General features: G+C 35.3%; 1 protein-coding gene and 1 long non-coding RNA gene across 10 annotated transcripts in view; one reads left to right on the top strand and one right to left on the bottom strand.

Annotated features, from left to right (window-relative positions):
• Window positions 1-22,668, bottom strand: part of GALNTL6 (polypeptide N-acetylgalactosaminyltransferase like 6) — a 1,228,156-nt gene that overhangs the window by 336,574 nt on the left and 868,914 nt on the right. The window contains exons 1-4 of one of the 8 annotated variants that reach the window (XM_011531994.2): window positions 17,932-18,003; window positions 12,012-12,121; window positions 9,472-9,560; window positions 7,282-7,471 (exon numbers count right to left, since the gene is read on the bottom strand). The exons of 4 other annotated variants lie outside the window; for them this stretch is intronic. In XM_011531994.2, the coding sequence (XP_011530296.1) occupies window positions 7,282-7,384 (103 nt within the window). In that variant the 5' untranslated portion in view covers window positions 7,385-7,471; window positions 9,472-9,560; window positions 12,012-12,121; window positions 17,932-18,003. Of the gene's footprint in view, window positions 1-7,281; window positions 7,472-9,471; window positions 9,561-12,011; window positions 12,122-17,931; window positions 18,014-22,668 lie in introns of those variants that run through there. 3 more of the 8 variants (XM_011531995.2, XM_011531996.2, XM_011531997.2) reach the window with 3 other exon arrangements.
• GALNTL6-AS1 (GALNTL6 antisense RNA 1) overlaps window positions 1-22,668 on the top strand; it is a 96,947-nt gene that overhangs the window by 21,893 nt on the left and 52,386 nt on the right. Inside the window, exon 1 of one of the 2 annotated variants that reach the window (NR_125895.1) lies at window positions 16,069-16,099. The exons of the other annotated variant lie outside the window; for it this stretch is intronic. This is a non-coding gene — a long non-coding RNA (GALNTL6 antisense RNA 1). Of the gene's footprint in view, window positions 1-16,068; window positions 16,100-22,668 lie in introns of those variants that run through there. 2 annotated transcript variants of the gene reach the window in all.

Raw genomic sequence — 22,668 nt, 5'->3', positions numbered from 1 at the left:
TAGATGAAATATACTTCAAGTCAAAAACTATAAAGTGAAACAAAGATGGTCATTATATAGGGAGAACAGAGTCAACTTGGCAAGAAGATATAATAATAAATATATATGCACCCAACACTAAAGCACCCAGATACATAAAGCAAATATTAACAGACCTAAAAGGATAGACTGCAATACAATAATGGTACAAGACTTCCACATCCCATTTTTAGCAAGACAGATCATCCAGAAGAAAATTATCAAATAATCATCAGAATTAAACTGCACTCTAGACCAAATGAACCTAACCAACGTTTAAAGAACATTTCATCCAGCTGCTGCAGAGTGCACATTCTTCTTGTTGGCACATGGAACATTCTCTAGGATAGACCACGTGTTAAGCCAAAAAATAAATCAAAAAATTTGAAAAGTCAAAATTATGTTATCTTTTCTGACCATAATTGAATAAAACTATAAATCAATGACAAGAGGAACTTTGGAAACTGTATTCAAATACATGGAAGTTAAACAACATGCTCTTAAACAATCAAAGGGTTCATGAAGAAATTAAAAAGGAAATTAAAAAAAATGTTTTGAAACCATAGAAAATGGAAACAAAACATACCAAAATCTATGGGATACAGAAAAAGATTATGAAGAGAGATGAGAAGTTTATAGCAAGAAATGCTTTCATCAAAAAAGTAGAAAGAGGTCAAATAAACAATCTAATGATGTACCTCAAAAAACTAGAAAAACGAGCATAAGCCAAACCCCCAGTTAGTGGAAAGAAACAATAAAGATCAGAGCAGAAATAAATAAAATTGAGACTAAAAAATTACAAAAGATCAACAAAATAAAAAGTTGGTTTTTTAAAAATATAAGCAAAATTGACAAACTTTTAGCTAGAGTACTAAGAAAAAAATGAGAGAAAACCCAAATAAATAAAATTAGAGATTAAAAAGGTGACATTACAACAGATATCATAGCAATACAAAGGATCATTAGAGAGTATTATGAACAATTACATGCCAAAACATTAGAAAATCAGGAAGACATAGATAAATTTCTGGATACATATGACATACCAAGATTGAACCATGAGTATACAGAACAACTAAACAGACCAATAATGGATAAAGAGGTTGAATCATTAATTAAAAAGTTTCTCAGGAAAGAAAAGTTCAGGACTGAATGGCTTCACTGCTGAATTCTACCACACTGTTAAAGAAGAACTAATACCAATTCTTATCAAAGTATTCCAAAAAATTTACGTGGGAGGGAGTTCTCCCAAATTCATTGTACAAGGTCAGTATTACCCTAATGCCAACACCACACAAAGACACAAGAAAGAAAGGAAAGTACATTCCAATATCCCTGATAAAGATAGATGCAAAAATCCTCACAAAATGCTGGAAAACTGAATAAAACAGCACATCAGAAAGGTTATTCACCATGATCAAGCAAAATTTATTCCAGGAATGTAAGGATCTTTCAACATATCTAAACTGATCACTATGATACACTACATCAACAAACTGAAGGACAGAAACCATATGATTATCTCCATAGAGGCAGAAAACACATTGATAAAGTTCAACTTTCCTTCATAATAAAAATACTTAACAAACTAGACATAGAAGGAATGTACCTCAAAACAATAAAGGTGATATATGAAAAATCCATAGGTAATATCCTATGAATAGAGAATAATTGAAAGCCTTTCTTCTAAGATCTGGAACAAGGCAAAGAGGTCCACTTTCCCCACTTTTACTCAACATAGTATTGAAAGTTGTAGTCAGAGCAATTAGGCAAAAGAAAGAAATACGGAACATCTAAATTGGATAAAAATTTATAAGATTTTTTAAAAATATAAGATAAGACAAAGATACCTACTTTTACCATTTTATTGGTTTACATTGACTTGGGTATTCTAGTTAGTGCAATAAAAATAAATAAATAAAAGCATACAAATTTAGAGGAAATAACCATCATTCCTTGAAAATGATTTGGTTGTATACATAAAACAACCAAAAAAACTATACATAAAAATAACTAGAAATGATAGAAAAACTTAGCAAAATGCTTAACCATAGAAAAGTCAATTGCATGTCTTTATACGAGTAATAAACTTTAAATAAAATAATTTAAAGGAAAAGACACCATTTATAATGACAAAAAAAACTATAAAGTGTCTTAAAATTTGTCTTAGTTCATTCCTGCTGCTATACTGAAATAGTGGTAATTTGTAAACAACAGAAATTTATTTCTCAGAAATTTATTCAGCCTCTCTCAGTTCTAGAGGCTTCCAAAATGATGCCTTCTCACTGTCCTCACATGGAGGGAGGGACTCAAAAAAGGGACTAGAGAGCTCACTTGAGCCTGTTTTATAAGGTCACTAATCCCATTTATAAGGCTACAGCCTTCATGACAAAATCACCTTCCCAAAGGTCCCGCCCCACTGTCACATTGGATATTAAGTTTCAATATAAAAATTTTGAGGGGGTCGGGGTGGGGGGAACTGACATTCAGACTTCAGCAGGAATAAATCTAACATATTCTGCAGAGTCTCTACAAAGAAAGTTTAAGCATTAAGGAAGAATATTAAAAATGACAATGGAGAGATAGCGCAAAATAGGATGAGATGGAATGAGAAGAGATGTGAGAGATAGGATGTTTATGAATAAGAAAACTAAATGAAGGCATAAATATTGAGTATCCTGAAAATAATGTATAAACAAAATAAAATTCCAGTGAAAGTTCCAATAGATTTTGTGTCTCTTCGTGTGTATGTATTTGCTAAATTTGAGAAACTCATTCTAATATTGATATAAAAGAGCTGAAGATCAAGAATTGCTAAGACAAACTTGCCATTTTTGACTTACAAAAGTAGTTCAGGAAGACTTGAATTAGGAGAATTTTCTGACTGCTTGATCATTTCATTATTTATCATTGTTATCCAGAAATAGTAAAATATAAATTATCCAAAGTATTAAAATGTACCTGCTCAGTTTTGATTTCTTTTTGTCTGATGTTTAGGGTAATATTTTTTATTTTGTTTGATTTTATTTATTTTTGTATTTCAGGCTTATATTAATCATAACGGTTAATTCTTAAAACACTGTTTTCATTAGTCTATGCATGGCTCTCTTTTATTCTTATTTATTTATTTATTTACATAAGAGAAATGAACACTTATGAATCCATTACCCAATTAGATAATTAGAGCCTTACCATTAATGTACAATGTTCAAACTATAAAGGTACTGAACCCATTTTAAAGTATACTTTTCATAGTGTACTTGTCCCCACTTCTGAGAAAGAGACCTGGCAATAGTTTTCTTTCGTGGAACCTCCATTTCTTGAGGTCCTATTCCGATTATAACTAGAAATCGCCACCAGCCCCTAGCATAGCTAAAGTGTAACACTGCGACTAAAGCCCACCCCATCAGAGTTTCTTTCTTAGGATTGAAGCTGGGAAGAGTTACCTAAAGACAGAAGACTGCCTTGATGGCAAGACTCAAGGAAATTACCCATTATTTCCTATTAATCAGAGTCCCAGCTCTGACCTGTTGGCCTGGATGCTATACTCTTTCTTAGATTCTGTAACTGAATAGCCTTCCAAAAATTAAGTTCCTTTCTTCAAGTTAGCATGAATCTATTTCAATTGTTTGCCACCAATAATTATAGCAACTTCTCTCTATGTTGAACTTTTCTGCATGATTAATGACTCGGCTTCATAGATATGTAAATATCTGAAGTCTGTCTAGGCTCACCGAACTATGTTCTAATGACGTAAAACCCCACCAAGGAAAACTCCACACTACTGAAAAATCAATTTATCTAATGTAAATCAATAAACATATCTTCAGTCTTCTTTAAAAATTTATTAGTAAATAAGATGAGAAATGTGAGGAAAAGACAGCCATGGTGTCTCTAAATGAAAATACAATCTATTATTTCAGTCATATTGCTAAATTTCTACTTCTCAGGCAAAGATTTTGAGACACGTTCCATGAGGCCTCAGGCTCCTTAAGCTTCATATGTAACACTTTTTTTTCCTTCTTATGGGAAATAAACGGGGTTAACAGACTGTTGCATTTTCGGTTAAAATGAAGTATGGCCCTCCTCTTTCCATAGATACACTGCCTGTATAGGGAGAAGCCTATATAATATCTCAAATTTATATTTGAAAGCCTTCTTTGTTTAGAAATCATGCTTATTTGTTTTGTATGCCTTTGCAACGCAATAGGGAGAAACTTGCTTTAACAGGGGTGAGCGATTGACCATATGTCAGGAATGTTAATGATTTTTGCAGGGAGCAAAGTAATAAGTGATGAAGAGATCAGAACACCTTTTTTGTATTCCTTTGGGATGGGTCACCTGTTTGTCCACTGGATGGCTGATTGTGGAAAACCGGCTGACCTCATTTCTATCCTCATTACCAGGTAAACCACACTAGCTCTGGGAGTCTCAGTCTAAATAGGAAACTGAAGAATCCTACCTTCAGTAAAAAGCTGGCAGCAGTGTGTTCAGTACATGTGAATCAGTAAATCCCTCTACAATTACATCCATTCAAATCAGCACCTTTGGTCATTAGTTACTTAACAGGTTACAAATTCCCTTTCTTTTATCATTATCCTTCAACATTCCTTCATGTTGTTTTTAACAATGTTATTAAATAGATTGTCTTGTTGAGATCTAGAAATGTCCACTGCATTTTTCTTCAACAATAATTGTCATCACATTTAAAGGAGAAACCCAATTACTTTGACCCAGAATAAAGTCAAACAGGGAGGCCATGTTGACTCTGTTTGGTTACCCCTTTTGGTTGCCAATTTCCTTTCAATATGATTACAAGGTTATGATTTTAATAACCTGTATTATATTCAATAAATACCAATTTTTGGTAGTTTTTTTAAAACTGCTTACTTGTTTCAAACTTTCAGAATTTCTCTAATTTTTGATAAATCCTTATGCATAGGTCATTGACGGAAGTTTCTTGGTATCATTTGTAAATTTTCTCAGTAATCTGCTACACAATTTGTTTCAAGAGACTTGAACTCACTTGAGTGTTTAGATACTTGCATCCTATTACAGGCCTCAACTGCTTCTTTATTGATATTTGGTCTATCCTTTTAAGGAAAAAATAGTTCCTTACTGAGAAAAAGAAAACAAAAAAATTATTTTCTTTTTCTTTTTGTAATACATCAATATTTCACCACTGGCCCAAAGCACAAAACTTATTTATTGGAACATAATTTAAAATGCTCTTTCACATGCTCATAGCAAATCTACTGCAAATCTTAACTCTTTGTAGCTGTGCCTTCTCTCATGATTATAGTATCTGGTCACAGGTCTCCCTGGACTTAGTGAGGATTTGAGGTTATGGCATTTCTGTTCTTCACATAAGTTTCTTACATGAGCTCCTTCTTTTTAGCCTGTTTTTATTGCGGACTTATTTCTAAGAGAAATTTATTGCTTTTTGTTTCATTTTGGCAACTCTGAGAGAAGGTTATTTATAAAATAAACTCATTTCTCTTCCTAGACCACACAGCTGTGAAAGTCACTATGAAGGACTGAACCTTATGTATACATGTGTTTGTGATATATTGTGAAATCTTTTAAAATTCTGTGTTTAGTTACACATGCACAGATACACATATACACACACACATACATTTATGAAAAATAAAATTTTGGCTGAGGTATGAAACATTACCATGCAGAATGCTATGGTCTAAATGTTTGTGTCCCCCTGAATTCATATGTTGAAATCCTAGTCCCCAGTGTGATGGTATTAGGAAGTGGGGCCTCTTGGGAAGTGATTAAGTCATAAGGACAGAGCCTTCATGAGTAAGATTAAGATCCTCATGAAGGAGTCCCCAGAGAGCTTTCTTGCCCCTTCCACCATGTGGAAGCACAGCTATAAGGCTCTTTCTATGAACCAGAAAGCAGGCTTTCTCTAAACACCGAATCTGCCAATGCCTTGATCTTGGATTTCCCAGATTCCCGAACTATGAGAAATAAATTTTTGTTGTTTATAAGCTACCCAATTTATGGTATTTTGTTATAGAATGACCAAGACACAGAACTTGCAAAAAAGGCGTGGGAGGAAACTGATTAGATGCCTTTATACTTCCCATCCATATTTATGGCATACAGATACCAGTCATTGGAAATTAGAAAAAGAATTTTGAAGGTTGCTTTGGAGTGAGTTGTCCTATATATCTCACCTCTTTGCTTTTAGTGGGGAGGAGCAGGAGGATACCTCCTTAGGAAACTGGACTTCCAAGCGACCATGTGGAGAATTTATGTGACTCCCATTCCCCATCTCCATCAAAGCACACAAACATAGTTTGAGTGGCACAGTGAGCTTGTGTCTGAATCATCGTTAAGAATCCAAAGCTTGAATGTTAGCTGGGTCAGCCCATGATAGCAGAGTATAGAGCTGCAATTTGGTAAATAATGGAGCTCCCAGAATTTGTCAAGGGAAAGGAAGAGGTGTGGCCACGTGGGAGGCAAAGCCCACAAGAGGAAGCCTTGGATCCTGTCCAAGAGACTGAGTGGAGGGTAGATGGGATCTCAGCGGAAGGAAGCTGGTCGTGGCCTAATGCTCAGAGGCTATGGGAGGAGCCAAAACTAGTTGGAATACTGATATTGCCTGTGTCAAGGGACTGTAAGCAGTAAGTCTCTAGCTGTGGGAGGTCTTCAAATAATTCAGAATAGTACTATGAGAGAAAGCAGCTCTGAATACCGGGCAGGCTCAGAAAGACACGAGATCATCAGCCTCACTCCAATCAGTCAAAACAACCCATAGGAGCAAAAAATAAAAACTCCTCCCAAATGGGGAGGAGTTTCTCAAGTATAGAGAAGACAATGCTAAGTTTTTATTTGTAGGCACTTCTTCTGTCATAGGCCCACATTAGGGAATAATGCCAGCCTCAAATGTACTAGAGAGTTTCTATTGTCACATAGGATTGAACAGCTGAATTACAGAATTAAGCCTGTGATTTGCAACTAAATGAGACTGTAGGAGTCTTAAATTGGTTTAGAGTGACCAGGCTGTCATGGGGGTTTTGATCCAGGTGCTTGGGAAGAACTAGGCACTGAATGTTTCAAAGAACCATGGTCAAAAACTAAACATGTTATAATTGTTCTCTATTAGTCTTGTTTGTTACCCAGGAAAAACATTAAAATAGGCTAGAGCACATGGATCCTGTTGTAAGTCTAAAGATCTAGTATTTTAGGCAAGTTTTAATAATATGATATATTTATGATTGTCTCATGCTTTCTCCTAGTTACCTTGCAAGCATCGTATTCCATTCTCGGCTTTGTTTCTTCTCTTTGTAGAAAGCCTGAGCAATAGTCCTTTACATTCTGACGAAGCCCTTCCTCCAGTGAACATTATTTTCTTTTGTAATCTACTTGTCCTTGTAATCCATTGCTTTCCTCCAATTGTTCACTTGTGTATTGGTTGGTAACTTTGATTTTCCTTAAAAATTTATAATTGTAAGTTAAACTTATTTTGTACACAAATTGTCTTACTTTAACATACTCAACTGCTCTCCAGTGAAATGCCAACTTTTTATTTAGTATTTCTATTTACTTAGAGGATCAAGATCTCCGCTGCTTGTCATCCACCTGATTTAACAGCAGTTTGGTTTTAGTTAAGGATGAGACATGGGTGTGATGAGCAGGGATGCATCCAGGGTAATGACCTATGTTCTCATCCTAACTTGCAATTCTATTGCTGGTCTAAATGAACATGTATAATGGTTAGTAAAGCTCCATAAAAACCAGTATTTTCAGAAATGCTAAGGATATCTTATTTTTATTTTTTTCACATAATTTGCTGTAAAAAAGGCATTTGGAAAATTTTAATTTCACTGATACTCACTTAACCAAAAAGGTCAGAGCCACATTTCTGTTGATTGAGTATCATGACATAAATATCTTTGAAGAATTATTGTTTTGTATATTAAACTAATTGAATATAAATCTACTTTAAAATTGTGTAGTCCAGAGGAAACAATTAAAAAGCATAATTATTGAATATACAATGTGACAAATCAGTCATGTAAGAAAAACTCATAATTTCCAGTTACTATGAGAATAATTATTGATAAGTAACATCTCTCCTTTTCCTTTCCATGAAAGTGAAAATGCATTTACAGAAGTGATGATTTTTTTCTCTTAATCTGTGTATTAGTCTGTTCTCACGCTGCTAATAAAGACATACCAGAGACTGGGTTATTTATAAAGGATAGAGATTTAATGGACTCACAGTTCCACATGGTCAGGGAGGTTGGTGGTGGAAGATGAAGGAGCAGCAAAGGCACGTCTTACATGGCAGCAGGCAAGAGAGTGTATGCAGGGGAACTCCCCTTTATAAAACCATCAGATCTTGTAAGATGTATTCACTATCACAAGTATAATGTGGAAAAGACCTGCCCCCATGATTCAATTACCTCCCACCAGATCCCTCCCATGACACGTGGGAATTATGGGGAGCTACAATCTAGGATGAGATTAGTGGGGGACATAGTCAAACCATATCAATCTGTTGTGTAGAAAGAAATAAAAAACAAAACAAAACAAAAAATTAGGAATGCCTGAAAGGTGAATAAAGCTGATATCTTTTATGGGAACAAAAGGTTGTTTAGATATTTAAAATTATGTGAAACAACAGGAAAACAGTCTTTTAAGGTTTGTAAATGCCAGCTAGAAAAAATCAAGCATGACAAGCTCAATGGTTGAGAGTGATGTGTAAATAGAAAAATTATACCCAAAATTTTTGGATCAAGTCTTGCACTATAGAAACTAGAGTGATTGGAGACACATTAGGCCACTGGAAATTTAGAGCTACAACTAGGAAAATTTCTCAAAGAGTTTTCTTAGTGTTGATTGAATCCCACACATTATCATTGACCAAGGAGCAACAAAATAAATAATAAATTGTTTAGATGAGAAACATTAGTTAATATCTAAAAATGGAGAATTTAAAGTTTAATGACTTGGGAAGATTTTCCAAGATTACAATTTCTTTTTTTTTTTGAGACAGAGTCTCGCTCTGTTGCCCAGGCTGGAGTGCAGTGGTGCCATTTCAGCTCACTGCAAGCTCCACCTCCTGGGTTCATGCCATTCTCCTGCCTCAGCCTCCTGAGTATCTGGGACTACAGGTGCCCGCCACCATGCCCGGCTAATTTTTTTCTTTGTAATTTTTAGTAGAGACAGGGTTTCACCATGTTAGCCAGGATGGTCTTGATCTCCTGACCTCATGATCCGCCCGCCTCGGCCTCCCAAAGTGCTGGGATTACAGGCGTGAGCCACAGTGCCCAGCCTACAATTTCTTGAAGAGAAAAATATTGAAAATAAAAATAAATTAGAAAGAAAACACAGTCTATCAAATAAGAAACATGAAATGAGAGAAATCTCAGGGAGATAAAAATAATCAGCCTCTAACAAATAGTAATTAATGAAAGCAGAACTCACAGTGAAGCTGCATCTCACACTTATTGGTATTTTTGGATATATTTATGCCTTTGATAAAAATTATTATCCTTTCCATTTTATCTCAAGATCTATGATAGAAAGATTAAAATGGTTTAAAATGTTATGATAAACTGAATAGCATCAGAGAAAGAAATGAATGAATCAGTTACACAAAAGAATGAATCAAATGAATGAATCAGTTATACAAAAGATCACCTACATCATTTCTGTCATTGTTTTTTAATCTTTCCTGGATGTTTTTAGCAAGAGTAAATCATTACATCTTTTTTGTTGTTGTTCAGTGTTCTGATTTTTTTAAGCTTTTGATCTCCTACTTTTTTATGTCGACATTGTAAAGGAAGAAGATAAAGAGGACTGACATTTATAGGGTTTCATTTATGCCCTAGGAACTGTGATGGACACACTATATACTATCATTTAATTTTTGCAAAAGTTTTTGAGGTACATAGAATTATTTTTATTTTTCAGATGAATCACAAGCATGATTTGCCAAAGACTGTGAAGCTACTGGATGACCAAGCTCAGTTAGTATTCTTTCCACTATATCATAGTATTTCCAAAAGCAATTGGAAGTCATAATTATGACCACAGAATATTCTGGAATCATCAAAGAAAGATTAAATAATCTTCAGTGTACAATATTTGTTTAGTTTTTAAAAAGCAGAAATAATTTTCTTTAATAAGCCCATGGTTATATTTTATCACTGGAGGAAGAAATAATACAAAATGCATACGTAAGGGAGCACATTCCTTTGGTGGACTTCTCCCAAGTCTACAGATCTCAGCTATGAGGAAATAACCCTACTTTCCTCACGCTGTTCCAGTCTCTGCTTAAAGACCTTGTGCTTTCTGGTTTCTTCCAAGCTTCCAGCCCCCATAGATCACTGATTTCCACTTGCATATGCTCAACACTGAGAAGTCCTTTACAGAAATAGGGCAGTTGCATCAATGATAGACTGCATAAAGACAATGTGGCATATATACACCACGGAATACTATGCAGCCATAAAAAAGAATGAGTTCATGTCCTTTGCAGGGACAAGGATGAAGCTGGAAACTCATCATTCTCAGCAAACTAACACAGAAACAGAAAACAAAACACTGCATGTTCTCACTCATAAGTGGGAGTTGAACAATGAGAACACATGGACACAGGGAGGGGAACATCATACACTGGGGCCTGTTGGGGTATTGGGGGCAAGGGGAGGGAGAACATTAGGACAAATACCTAATGCATGCAGGGCTTAAAGCCTAGATGATGGGTTGATGGGTGCAGCAAAACACCACGGCACATGTATACCCATGTAACAAATCTGCACATTCTGCACATGTATCCCAGAACTTAAAGAATAAAAGAAAAAAAAAAAAAGAAATAGTGCAGCTGCTTACTGATACACCTTCTCTGACTGCTCAAATAAACCAATACTTCTTGGCCCTCAGTACGCAGGCTAATTTCATTGAAAAGGTTTTTGTTCCCAGAGGAATTGTTAAATGATATGTCTGTGTCATAATTATTTTAAATAGTGGAATTCATATGAGGCATCTCTGCCACAGTGATTTGCATATAGTGGACAGTCACTACATTATAACTGAATAAAAAGTAATTCCATTAAAAGCCACAGAGGGTTCATCATTCAAGGCAAAGAGAATAGCAAACTGGGTGCACAGTGGAATCAGCTTTAAAATATGCAGATTCCAAGGCTTCATACCAAATACAATAAGCCAAAAATCTCCAGTGTTGGTACCAGGATTCAGTTTTTCAGTGGCTGTCCTTAGCTTCCCAAGGCAGAGAATCAGCTGTTTTGAGGAACACCTGGGAAGAAATGAAAAACCTCCCCCATAGGTGGAGCCTTGAGTGCGGAAGGAGCATAGTGAGAGGAGGCTTTAAAGCTGGGGAGGAACCAGACTGGGGTGAGTTAAGGTGTCTATATGTGGCCCAAGAGGCAGTGGGGAGATATTTAATTTGTGCTTTAAAAAGATCACTCTCTAAAATGTTGTGAATATATTGATGAGGGCTGTGGCAGAGTCAGAGAGCCAGTTAAGAAGAGATTGTTGGTACAGATGATGAAGAGGCTGATAGTCTCCTTGATTAGGACAAAGCCAGTGGCTGGGGCAATGGGGGTAAACTCAGGGATTAGCAAGATATTTGGAAGACCAGATAGGCAGAAATTAATAACTTACTGATAAGTGGGATTAGGAAATAAGAGAAATAGACTCCACTTCCAAATCCTAATAGATAACATAATTTATTAATGCTGAATAATCATTAGGACTGAAATTCTATATATTTTAAAAATTAGGTAGACATCACTGAGACTTAATTAGCATTCTGATTTAGAGAAGGGAGGAATTTGAGGTCATATACCCTCTTCTGTTCCATTTGCCCTATTTTAATTATCTAAAAATAAATTCTTCCATTTTATGCATATTTTGGCCAATCGTAGTGTTGTTATCCCTTACGTAACATTATATGTAAGCTTAATCTTTCATATTACAATTTTGGCTTATTTAATATTCACCTGTTCTCCTTGTACACAGACTGGTTGGCTAGATCTTCAGCCTTGGATGAGTCATTCTGGGTCATCACCATGACTCATTCACAGGCTACCAATGAGCATGGTCTCAAAGTCTGTATTGTAGAAGGAAATAGAGGTTGCCTTGAAGTCTTGACTTATAAAATTTTAGGGTTGTGTTATAGACAATCCTAACTTCCACCACAGGATGTATTCAGAATACTGCAATTTTCTCATTATCTAAAAGTTTCATATTCTGGCTTCTTTTTATACAACTTATTAGTAAGGGAGGGAGTTTCTTAGGTTTCCTACTTCCCATAAAAAATAAGAGTGCAAACAAAGGTAATTCATAAAAGAAAAAAATGCTTGCTGCTAAAGTGTTTAAAAAATAATTTGAACTGACTTATAACACAAGAAATTCAAATTTAAACAATGACATATAATTTTCACACATAATATTAAAAAATAATTCAAAAATAAAAGTATCTGAGTCCAAAAAGGTGCTTTCAAATGAATACATCTCTGATATGAGTACAACTTGGTATAAGCTTTATGGAAAGTTATTTGTTAATGTTTATCAAGAGACTTTAAAGAGATTTTCTGCATTGGCCCAATAATTTCACCTATCTAAAAAAAATCTAGAATGTATTAAGACATTTAATAATATATATTTAATTGCAGAGATAGTTATAATTGCAAAAATCTGCAAATAGTCAAAATGTCACACAATTGTGAAATACTTGATATTAGAAAGTGAAAATGCAGAGTATCAAATTATAGAATATGAGTTAAAATATGCAAGCAGATGCACATCAAAGAGAGTAAGCGTTAAGAGTGATTATTTGAAAGTTAAATAATAAGGTTTTTTTGGTCTTTTTTTCTGCACATTTCTGAGTAATCCAAGTAATTGGTAATAAACATATGCTACCTTTGTTTCTAAAAAAAATCCCGCTTTTTGCATTAAATAGGCATGTCTGAATACAACTCTCAATTTTGAAGGAAAGATTTACATTCACCATATCCTTATCTATATTTTTAATGATTTACACATATTTCAGGCTTTATGTAAAGGTTGACAGCTTTTTATTTTTTAAAGTTTTATCAAATTGGGTGCACACAATAATTTAGATTGTCTTGCTCAGCTTCTGCTATAATTCTGTCTTTTTCTGGTTTCTATATCATAGAGTATGAGAGACTATCACAGTACTGCCAGACTCCCTTGCAGCTATGGTAAGTGTATGTGACCTAGGTCTCTGTATCAGATGCACCTGCTGAGATGTAGAGGAAGAAGTGGTGGCCTTGGGGAGTGAGGCAGGGTTCTTGGTCAAGCCTAGGGGCAGAGTCATCTGCCTTGCCTGACCATCTCTGTGGGCCCTCCAGACATCCAGCCCCAGCATCACAGGTATTGAGTCATGAGCAGTAATGACAGCAGTGTTTTCACTAGAAGAGCCATGTGCTATTAAGGTAACATTATTTATGGTACTCCTAAAGAGTCTGAGTCATGTAACATTTAAAAATAACTCCTTCTTTAGACGGACATGGATCTTGCTGCTTTCAACAAAGACCCAGTGCAATACTTAATCAGGGCCATGCTGACAAATATATCATTAGGTGTACTGCTTTCTGCCACAGTAAATGCCATTTCTGTGACAGTTTCCCATGGTTTTCTCAACCTTATTTATCAATCTTCTTTCCTATGGTTCTCCCCATGAACCCTCTGTCCAGATATTCATGTTTTCTTGCTGTTTGATGAGTATTTCCTTTGTGTTCTACTCTTGGTAGCATTGTTCATGTTGGTGATGACCTGGGAATACCCATCCTCTACCCTCCCCAGCCATCCTTCAAGGCTCAGCTATAATGTTGTCCTCCTCCATGGAAACTTTCCTGCCTCCTCCAGTGCTCACTGATCTTCCAGTTCCTGAATGTTTTCAGCCCTTTATTCAGCACAAAATGTTTGGTCTTTAATGTTGACTAGTTTTGTATTGCAAGCCAATTTCTGAGCGTGCCTTTGATCTCATCTCTCTTAGAGTATTGTATTTCTACAATACTCCCTCTACAGAAATCTCTTAGAGTTCTGATATGCACCAGGGATAGTGCCAGGCCCTTCTCAAGAACATATTAATATAATAAACATCAATGATTCACTTATGTACTTAAAGAATATTCCAGTAGAATTAAGTTAACCAGAAGGTTTGGGGAATGCTATGGTTTGGTTAGTTAAATTTTCAGGTTAGTTGAGAGATATGCAAATAATATTTTCTCTTGTTTTAATTGGGAAATGTTATCTCAAGTGCATTTGGTCACTTTTCCGTCTAAGGAAGTACATGAGAGTAATCCACTATAATGTGATGTGCTCAGGTGACCTCTTCTGAAAAGGAGTCAATTCCATTGTTTTTGCAACTGGAAGTGATTTCACTCTTTGAGTTGTCATAGCACTTTATGGCCATCATAAGAATATTGCCTTATTTGTTTTTTATTGTTGTATGTTTATTAGGCACATTAAAATCTACCACTCAATTACAAATTGACATGATACAGAAATGGCTTCTTTCTTAACTTTTATATTCCCCACTGGGCCTGATCCAGTGTGATAAATATAAGAGGTACTAAAATCTTGGTTAAATGAATTGAGACAAAGAGTCAGTCTTTTAAATATCAGAATAAGAATTTTTTTTCTGGAAGGTATAGAATTTGGGGTTAAATTGGTAGTGCCCCAAGACAAAAGAATAAGAAGTTACTTTTTAAAAAGTTTCATTATGGGCTTATTTTCAAGCTATTTGACATTCTTCCTCAGAAAAAATGAAATAAATTAAATCCATGGAATTGAGTGTTTTTGTTATTTTTTCCTGGCTAAGTGTGATTTTTATTACAATTTTTCTAAACTTTCCTTCATGACAAGAAAATCACTGTTATTTTAATTTCTATATTTTGTCACATTACTTCTTAGTCTGAGCTCTCATGACATTCTTTATGGATATACCTTATACCTCTGAAGTTAATTTGTAATTTTTTTCCTCAAATTTGGATACCTTAAAATATTTGTATACTTTATATCCTGGTTTTGATTTTTTTTTAAAAATCACGAGCTTTAGCTGAAAGACATGTTGTCTGGTTACATTATCATCTAATTTTCTTTAACACTAAAAACACTATGTAGAAAATGTTATGAACTTGAAGGTACATATGCTCTACTTGGGATGGCTTCATACAGTTTTCTTTATTTCTAGGACACTGTTAAATATTTGGCGTGGTTAACATGTTGACGAATACAGAGACAGGGCAAGAAGCATCAGCAGTTGAGTGAGTGGCTGTTACCACTGGGCACATACCCCACAGAAAAAGCATTAAGAACTTAGAAGATCTTGTCCCTTGCTGGCAGTATGTGAATTGCAATAATAATATCTGTCTTCATATCAGAGTCATGATAAGATATGTGAAATTCTTGAAAATGTTGAAGTGTCAAAAAAAGAATGCAATTTGATATTCAAATTTTCAAAACGTTTTTCATATTAAAATTTTACTTTTCAAAATGTTTTCATAGATGTCAGACTTCTTTTAAGTCATATAATAATCCTCTGATGTAGTTGGGCTAAGCTTTATACTTTCCATTTTATTGATGTGGAGAAAGTTAAATGGCTTGTCCAAGTTTGCTTGGAAACAGAAATTTAAATAATAGCGAAGTATTTTAACTCCGTATCCAATTCTACTTTCACTATATTGTACAGTCTACCTTTTTCATATTAATAATAACTCTATTACCAATGAACATAAATAGTCCAAACTACTTCAGCTATAATCTCATCCTGGTTCCAGATTAGTAAAGAGTAAGTAGAATGAAGAGTTCTAGGTGTCAGGGGTGGGGATATATAACTTCTAACACAAGCATATATAACTTCTAACACTAGCATACTGGGACATGTTTAACAATTGGCTCTCTGGAAAACAAAATATTCTAATTGGTAGTGTGAGCTAATTTCTGTGGTGTAAATACTCCCATTGTGGCTGACTTTGGGTTACTGAGTAGGGAGTTGGGAAAAAATGAGATGTGCACACTGATACTTGCACAGAGAGACAAGGATGTCTGTCTTTGGCAGGTAAACAAGACACAGGCACAAATAAGTTAAATATAAAAAGAAATGCCTTTTAAGAAGGGAGCAGCTTAGGATTCTCACTAGAATCATGGGTACTCTCCATAAGGGGAAAGTTCACCACACAGATCCAAGTATGGTATACCAATCATCCACTGGGGAGAGCCATTTCCATAGTGAAGTGTTTGACAGAGTGGCCTGCACAGAGTTGTGGAGCAGGAGTGCCAGAGGCTGGAGCACAGACCTAAGAAATAAACAGCCTTCTTACTAAAAGTGCATTTTCATTTAGCATGATATGTCTAGTGAAGGAATATATGCCATCTCTCTATAAACATTATGGGCGGAATATTGAAATAAGGGGGATTTTTGGGTTGTTCAGAAGGTGAATTTTTAGCTCTTTAAGTGGAGGTCCAAGCAACACAAATGGTGACAACTTCCTCCTCTTCTCAAGAAGAAAACCTGAGCAATCTTTCCAGTCAGCACTACCACTTGCTACGCACATCACCTTGCTCAATTTACTACCATAAATTGGTACATTTACAACCTCCAATTTGCTACCATAGGTTTTGGTTTCTCACCTCAGATTATGTGAAGGAAACTGCTTCCAAATTCATAAAAGAAACATTCCAAACTTGGGCAAAGTAGCAATCACATATGCTACCTAGGTTGTTAATAATTTACCATAAATTTAACTTAGTGGTTATTCCTTAGACAGTTTGCCATGTGCATTATTTATGAGTTTTTTCCACTTTGGTGGACTACAGCAGTCATATTAATTTTTAATCAAATTGTGTAATTTTGTAAGTAATTCTTAAAGCCAGGTGAATACAAGGACAAAAGGTATCTAGGAAATAGTATTTAAATGTATTCTATTCCTAGGAACACATTTGCCGTTCACTTTAAATATCAAATACCAAAATGACTTTAAGGAAAATAGTTAAGACAGGCCATACACATTGAGTTTCTCTAAGTAAACCTAGAGCTTACTTATGGTTATAAATTTCATACATTTTGCTTTTAAAGAAAAAGCCAGCAACTGAATATTTATAATCCCGAGACTGTCCCATACTTTATTGTTTTCCTTAGGGGCTTTTCCCCAGCCCAAAGGAGAATATGGTAACTGACATTCTCTGCAATCTGCCAAGCGCTAAAGTCTTTTTCCCCAAATGCATTGCAAACATTATCTTAGTATTAAAATGCATAAATTGGAGAAATCATGAAAGGAAAGGTTCAGTAGCTTCAAGAAATTTTTTTTTTTTTTTTTTTTGAGACAGTCTTGCCTTGTCGCTCAGGCTGGAGTGCAGTGGCGCGATCTTGGCTCACTGCAACCTCTGCCTCCCGGGTTCAAGCGATTCTCCTTCCCCAGCCTCCCAAGTAGCTGGGATTACAGGTACACGCCTCTGTGCCCAGATAATGTTTGCATTTTTAGTAGAGACGGGGTTTCACTGTGTTGGTCAGGCTGGTCTTGAACTTCTGACCTGGTGATCCGCCCGCCTCAGCCTTCCAAAGTGCTGGGATTACAGGTATGAGCCACCGTGCCGGGCCAAGAAATTATTAACAGGGCTAATTCTCAACCCACTTAAAATGAAAGCACCCACTCCCGCACATTTTTATCAAATATATTGCAGATGGAAATTTCAGGTGTAAATTTTCAAGTGCTGAGTAATATTATTGTTATTATTATAGACCAAAAGCAAAAATTTGTGAAATACAGATCCTGTAAAAGAAGCTTCTCTTTTACCAGATTCTATCTGACTTGGTAGGAAAAAAATTACATTTATGTATTGAGTTGGAATCAACAAAACTGGCTTTATGTATAGGGTTTCTTAGTTACTTACTGGCTTCGTGACCTTGGTTTGGTCATCAGACTTCTCAGAGCCTCGTCCCCTTCCCTGGAGAATGGGGATTGTGATGTTACCTGCATCACAGAGCTGTAAGAACTAGACGGTAATGTGATTATGTGATGCTCCTATAAGGAATTTTTATATTATTACAATTGTATTATGTGTGTGAGACTGAATTTCATGTAAAACACAAAAGGACATTATGTCAACCATGGATAGATGAGGCCTAAAAACAAAATATCAATTATTTGAAGTTCATTGAAAACACATACATGATTGAATCCTTTGAAGGAAAAAACACATTCCTTGAGGGCCATAGAAACTCAAAGAATAGCACAAAGCAATGTGTCCTAGCCCTGTATTTAGGAATAGGTATAATTCATTCACTCAATGCTTTGATACACAAGGTTTTAATAAGTTAAAAATAAAATAAACTTTCTTTTTCTATAGTGTTTTCCTCTAGTTTTCTCAAGTTTCTTGCATGGAAATTTGCTTGTACATACTGTTTTATGAATAGAATCATATAAGTAACTTGCATTCTCACCTTTATAGCTAACAATTAAGTTACCAGAATCACATCTTTGTGTGTAGATTCCTTTGGAGAAAAAGGTTAGTATTGAATAACAAAGCTTCCATGAACACCAGAGCCAGGCTTCTCATGTTTTACTGTATGAATGAATCACTTGGGGACCTAGTTGATTTAGTAGGTTCATGGCGGGAGTGGGGGTGGGGGTCTGAGGCTCTGCTCAGGTCCTGCTGATGTTGCAGGACCACAATAGAGCAAGGAGAGATGATAGAGGATGGGATCCCAGAGGGATCTTTACAGGGGAGAAGGCAGGTGGTGTGGCTGCAGAGGCTGGTGGTTGGTGGATCTGGCAGTGGGACCATGAGAGCACAAGGCGTGATGAATTCCCCTAAGCTTTCTGCATGAGGAGGACAGATTTGCTCTCCAAACTTACTCTCCAAGGGCTTATTTTTAAAAAAATATAGTGGTCTAATTATTTTGAATATTTAATCCAGTGCCTAAACATAGACTTTGAATTTGATTACTCTCAAGTAATCTCTTTGGTGAAACCTAAGCAAGGTTATCCTTATGTTTAATATCTAACTTGGACAGATGGCATACAGCATCTGGTGTCTCAGAGGGAATGGACTACTTATTGACTGCCTGCACCTCTCACTGACTGAGACAAAGGGATGGAGAAAAATATGATGCCAGAAGTAGACATCCCCGCTCCTTCATTCTAATGTGCTATGAAAACAATAGGGATATTTTTTTTTCTAAAGTCGCCTGGCTGAGTTATAGAAATGATTAATGTTTTATTCAATTGAAGACTCAAAAAGAGGATTTACTCTGACCTGGTATTTTAAAATGTGGAGCAGTGGTGGTGGGTGAAGGATGGGTGGATGAGATGGTTATAGAAGAATTAGTTTAAGAACATAGAAGAAAGCAAATAAGAAGATACTCATTCCATCTTCAGGTGAGCCATTTTGCAAAGTACAGCTGAGAATCTTTATCCTCTGGTCACACTGGTAATCAATTCTTGCTCGGTTCTTTAATGTGCCTTTGGATATTACAGTAATTGATCTCACTATAAGCAGTAGTGAACAGATAAATGAGTAAAGAGGCTAAAAAGGGGATACATTTTCTATAGATCTCTCCTGAGAGCTGTATTGGCTCAGTTTATATAATATTAGCAATTATGTCTTCTATAATTGAGTAGAAAAGCCCATGAAAAATGAATGAAGAAATGTCAAGGATTAGTCAAATTTTAAACTAATGAAAAAGATTCACTAAATGACTTGCTGTGGCATTTTATTATCCAGGTTCAAAAATAAGAATATACATACATGAATCTCGGTGAATTTTTATTTTTACTTTTGCCCTTCTACATTTCTCTCCTTTTCTGGTTATTTATATTAACTTGCCATAGTATTTTCCTCTACATATCTGAAATTTTTGAAAACTCAAGTAATAGAATGCTTAATATGTGCAAGGCCATATCTTAAATGCTGTAGGTATTTACAATATGTACAAGGTAACAATCATACTAAAAAGTGTCATGAGTTTGATAATTCACTCTTTGAATATAAATGACTTACATTCCAGCTAGAGTGAGCAAGAAGTTGCATAGAGTAATTGGCATGTTAATGGTAAATTGAAAAAATGGGTAGGGTTGAGAAATGGAGAGCTTGAGGAATGAAATCATTTCAGATGCAGAAGGCAGCACGAGCAAAGGCATAGGAGAGAGAAAAGAAATATATGCTTGTGGAATGAAAAGTACTTCAGAATGACTGAAGCTTACAATGGCTAAAGGAGTTCTAGGCCATTCCACTCCCAGTGAGCCACCAAAGGTTCATCTCTTTTCCATGTTCAGTCTTGACTCCATCTGTTAACCTTCCTAAAATGCCTTTAGCATTCTCCCCAATTTAGGTACTACCCATCCAGTTTCTTCTTCCTTTTCCATGACCTGAATTTCTCTCTCTTATAGACCCATTATTTGTATGTTTTACTTACTTAGCATTTAATCATATACTTTTTTGTGTGTCATCTAATTGATTGTATTATTGCTTAATATTTTACATACACCATTTTTTTAATCCATATGACAAAATTTGAAGGTTCTTGAGACCAGAAACTTGTTTATAATTGCTTGTATTCTCTAGCATCTAAAGTTAGGCCTGCATATAGGGTAGTTGCCAAATAAATGTTAATTGCCTAAATGAACATATAACTAGATGTATGCATGAATGAATGAATGGATGAATGAATGAAGTAGATGGAAGTCTGGAATCTAGAAATAAAAAGCTGTGTACGCCATCATCTCTAATGATTTTTATAAGAAGGTGAGCAACTGTTATCTGCTACATACAAACTTCTTAATTTTAAAGATTCTGATTTTCTTTACTATGGTGTTAAGCCATTGAGATAGCTAATAACTAGAGAGATATAGATGTGTCTGCATTTCTAGTAAATTTAATAAGGAATGGACAGCGATCTATCCTTTATAGATGCATCTATGGTTAGATAATTCGCAAAGCTGGAGCTGGGTTGCATGACTTTTTTTCTGGAAGATGAGTGAATCTGTAATTTTTAAGAATGTGTGGTCCTTTCTAAGTCATAGGAATGGGCTCTATGTAATGCCTGCAGTTGAAACTGCTAACACGAAAAAGCTAATCCCTGCTTCCAGCTTCCACCTATTTGTTTTTAAAATAAAGAATAATTCTCTCAGTTAATTGATATTATTTTGGGAAAAATAACTCCGTCTGCTTAGTTGTGAATAGTATCTCACTAACTGCTTCATTCTGTTCAATTTATGTGTCCCTAGCTAGAAGTTAACTAGATTCTACAGGAATATAACTGTGACAATTCTTCCTTTACATTTCTGACTGCAATATCGTTAGCTGTAAGTTGTTATGTACGGTGTAGTTACGGCCAGTTGACAAATAATAAGATCTGTATCATTTCTAGTAAATCTATGAGATTACTTTTTCATGGATTTCTGGCAAAAATAAATACAAGTCCTTTTTCAAGGGTTAGGGTAAAAAGTTTTTAATTAAAAGACTTGAAAGAATTATTGTAACCACTGTGGCACACTGGTTTAAAAAAGTAAAATAGTTATATTGGATGCATATATTTCCAGTGACCAAAGTATTTTAATGTTGACTTAAAATGACATGATAAACCATTTCTCATTATCAAGGGAAGCACATGCATAGAAGTGAATAGATATCTCCTCCAGCTTTGGCCATCTGAGGCTTTGCCTGCTTCTGTGTTCTATGACCACTGACTACAATGATCCAAGAAATTTCAGTATCTTTTAGATGACATGACAGATACCACAGCCTGTTACTCAGAGTTGTGGTTTCTTTGGCTCTGAGGGTGTTTTGCTGTGGATTAGTCTCTGACTTTGGCCAAAACGTCTCAACAAACTCCCAAATTGCTTACAGAAAATGAACTGATGGGAGAAATGAACGCAGGAAACAGGTTCGTGTCCCTGTTTTGCACTTTGAAGAATAAATGTTCTCTTTGAACCTCATTTTCCTCATCAGTAGAATGGCTTAGGCATACCTTTCCTAAAGTTGTGTTATAAAGATTGAGACAATATAATCAACAGAGACAATATAATAAACGTAAACCTCTTTGTACAGTATTTAGTGCACAAGAGTGGCTCAGATTTTTTTTTCTAATTTTTTTCCCCTTAGCTCATGGGGAGCACATTCAGGCCAAATAAAAATCTGTTTGCAATACTTCCTGGAACTGACCAGGTTAAAATTGTCTTAAATGTCATAATCATAAATCTCTCAATGATGGATTAGCCTTTTTGAGTGGGGAGAAAGTACTACCCAGCTCACTCATTGAGCTGGCAAAGCTAGCTTCTACTGGCATTTCCTAGAGATACCAGCTCAGTTAGGATGGCCAAATTTAGCAAATATTGGCAAATATTTAAGCACAATGTTTGGGACATAGTTATACTAAAACCTATTTGTTTTTTATCTGAAATTCACATACTAGTGGGTATCCTGTCATTTTATCTAAAAACCTATCCCAAATTTGTTTACAAAGTCTTTATTACAGACACATTACTATTTTTGAACTTATCCTTCATTTCACTCTTTCTTATAGTGTTATCTTGATGTTATATATATTAAAATCCATTGGCTTATTGTACATGATACTACTTTCTATTAAGGATTTGCCACATTAAAAATATTTAATGAGATACAACT

This window comes from Homo sapiens, chromosome 4 (assembly GCF_000001405.40).
Source record: "Homo sapiens chromosome 4, GRCh38.p14 Primary Assembly".
In the NCBI taxonomy this organism is placed as follows: domain Eukaryota; kingdom Metazoa; phylum Chordata; class Mammalia; order Primates; family Hominidae; genus Homo; species Homo sapiens.
This window is presented reverse-complemented; position numbering and strand designations above follow the sequence as displayed.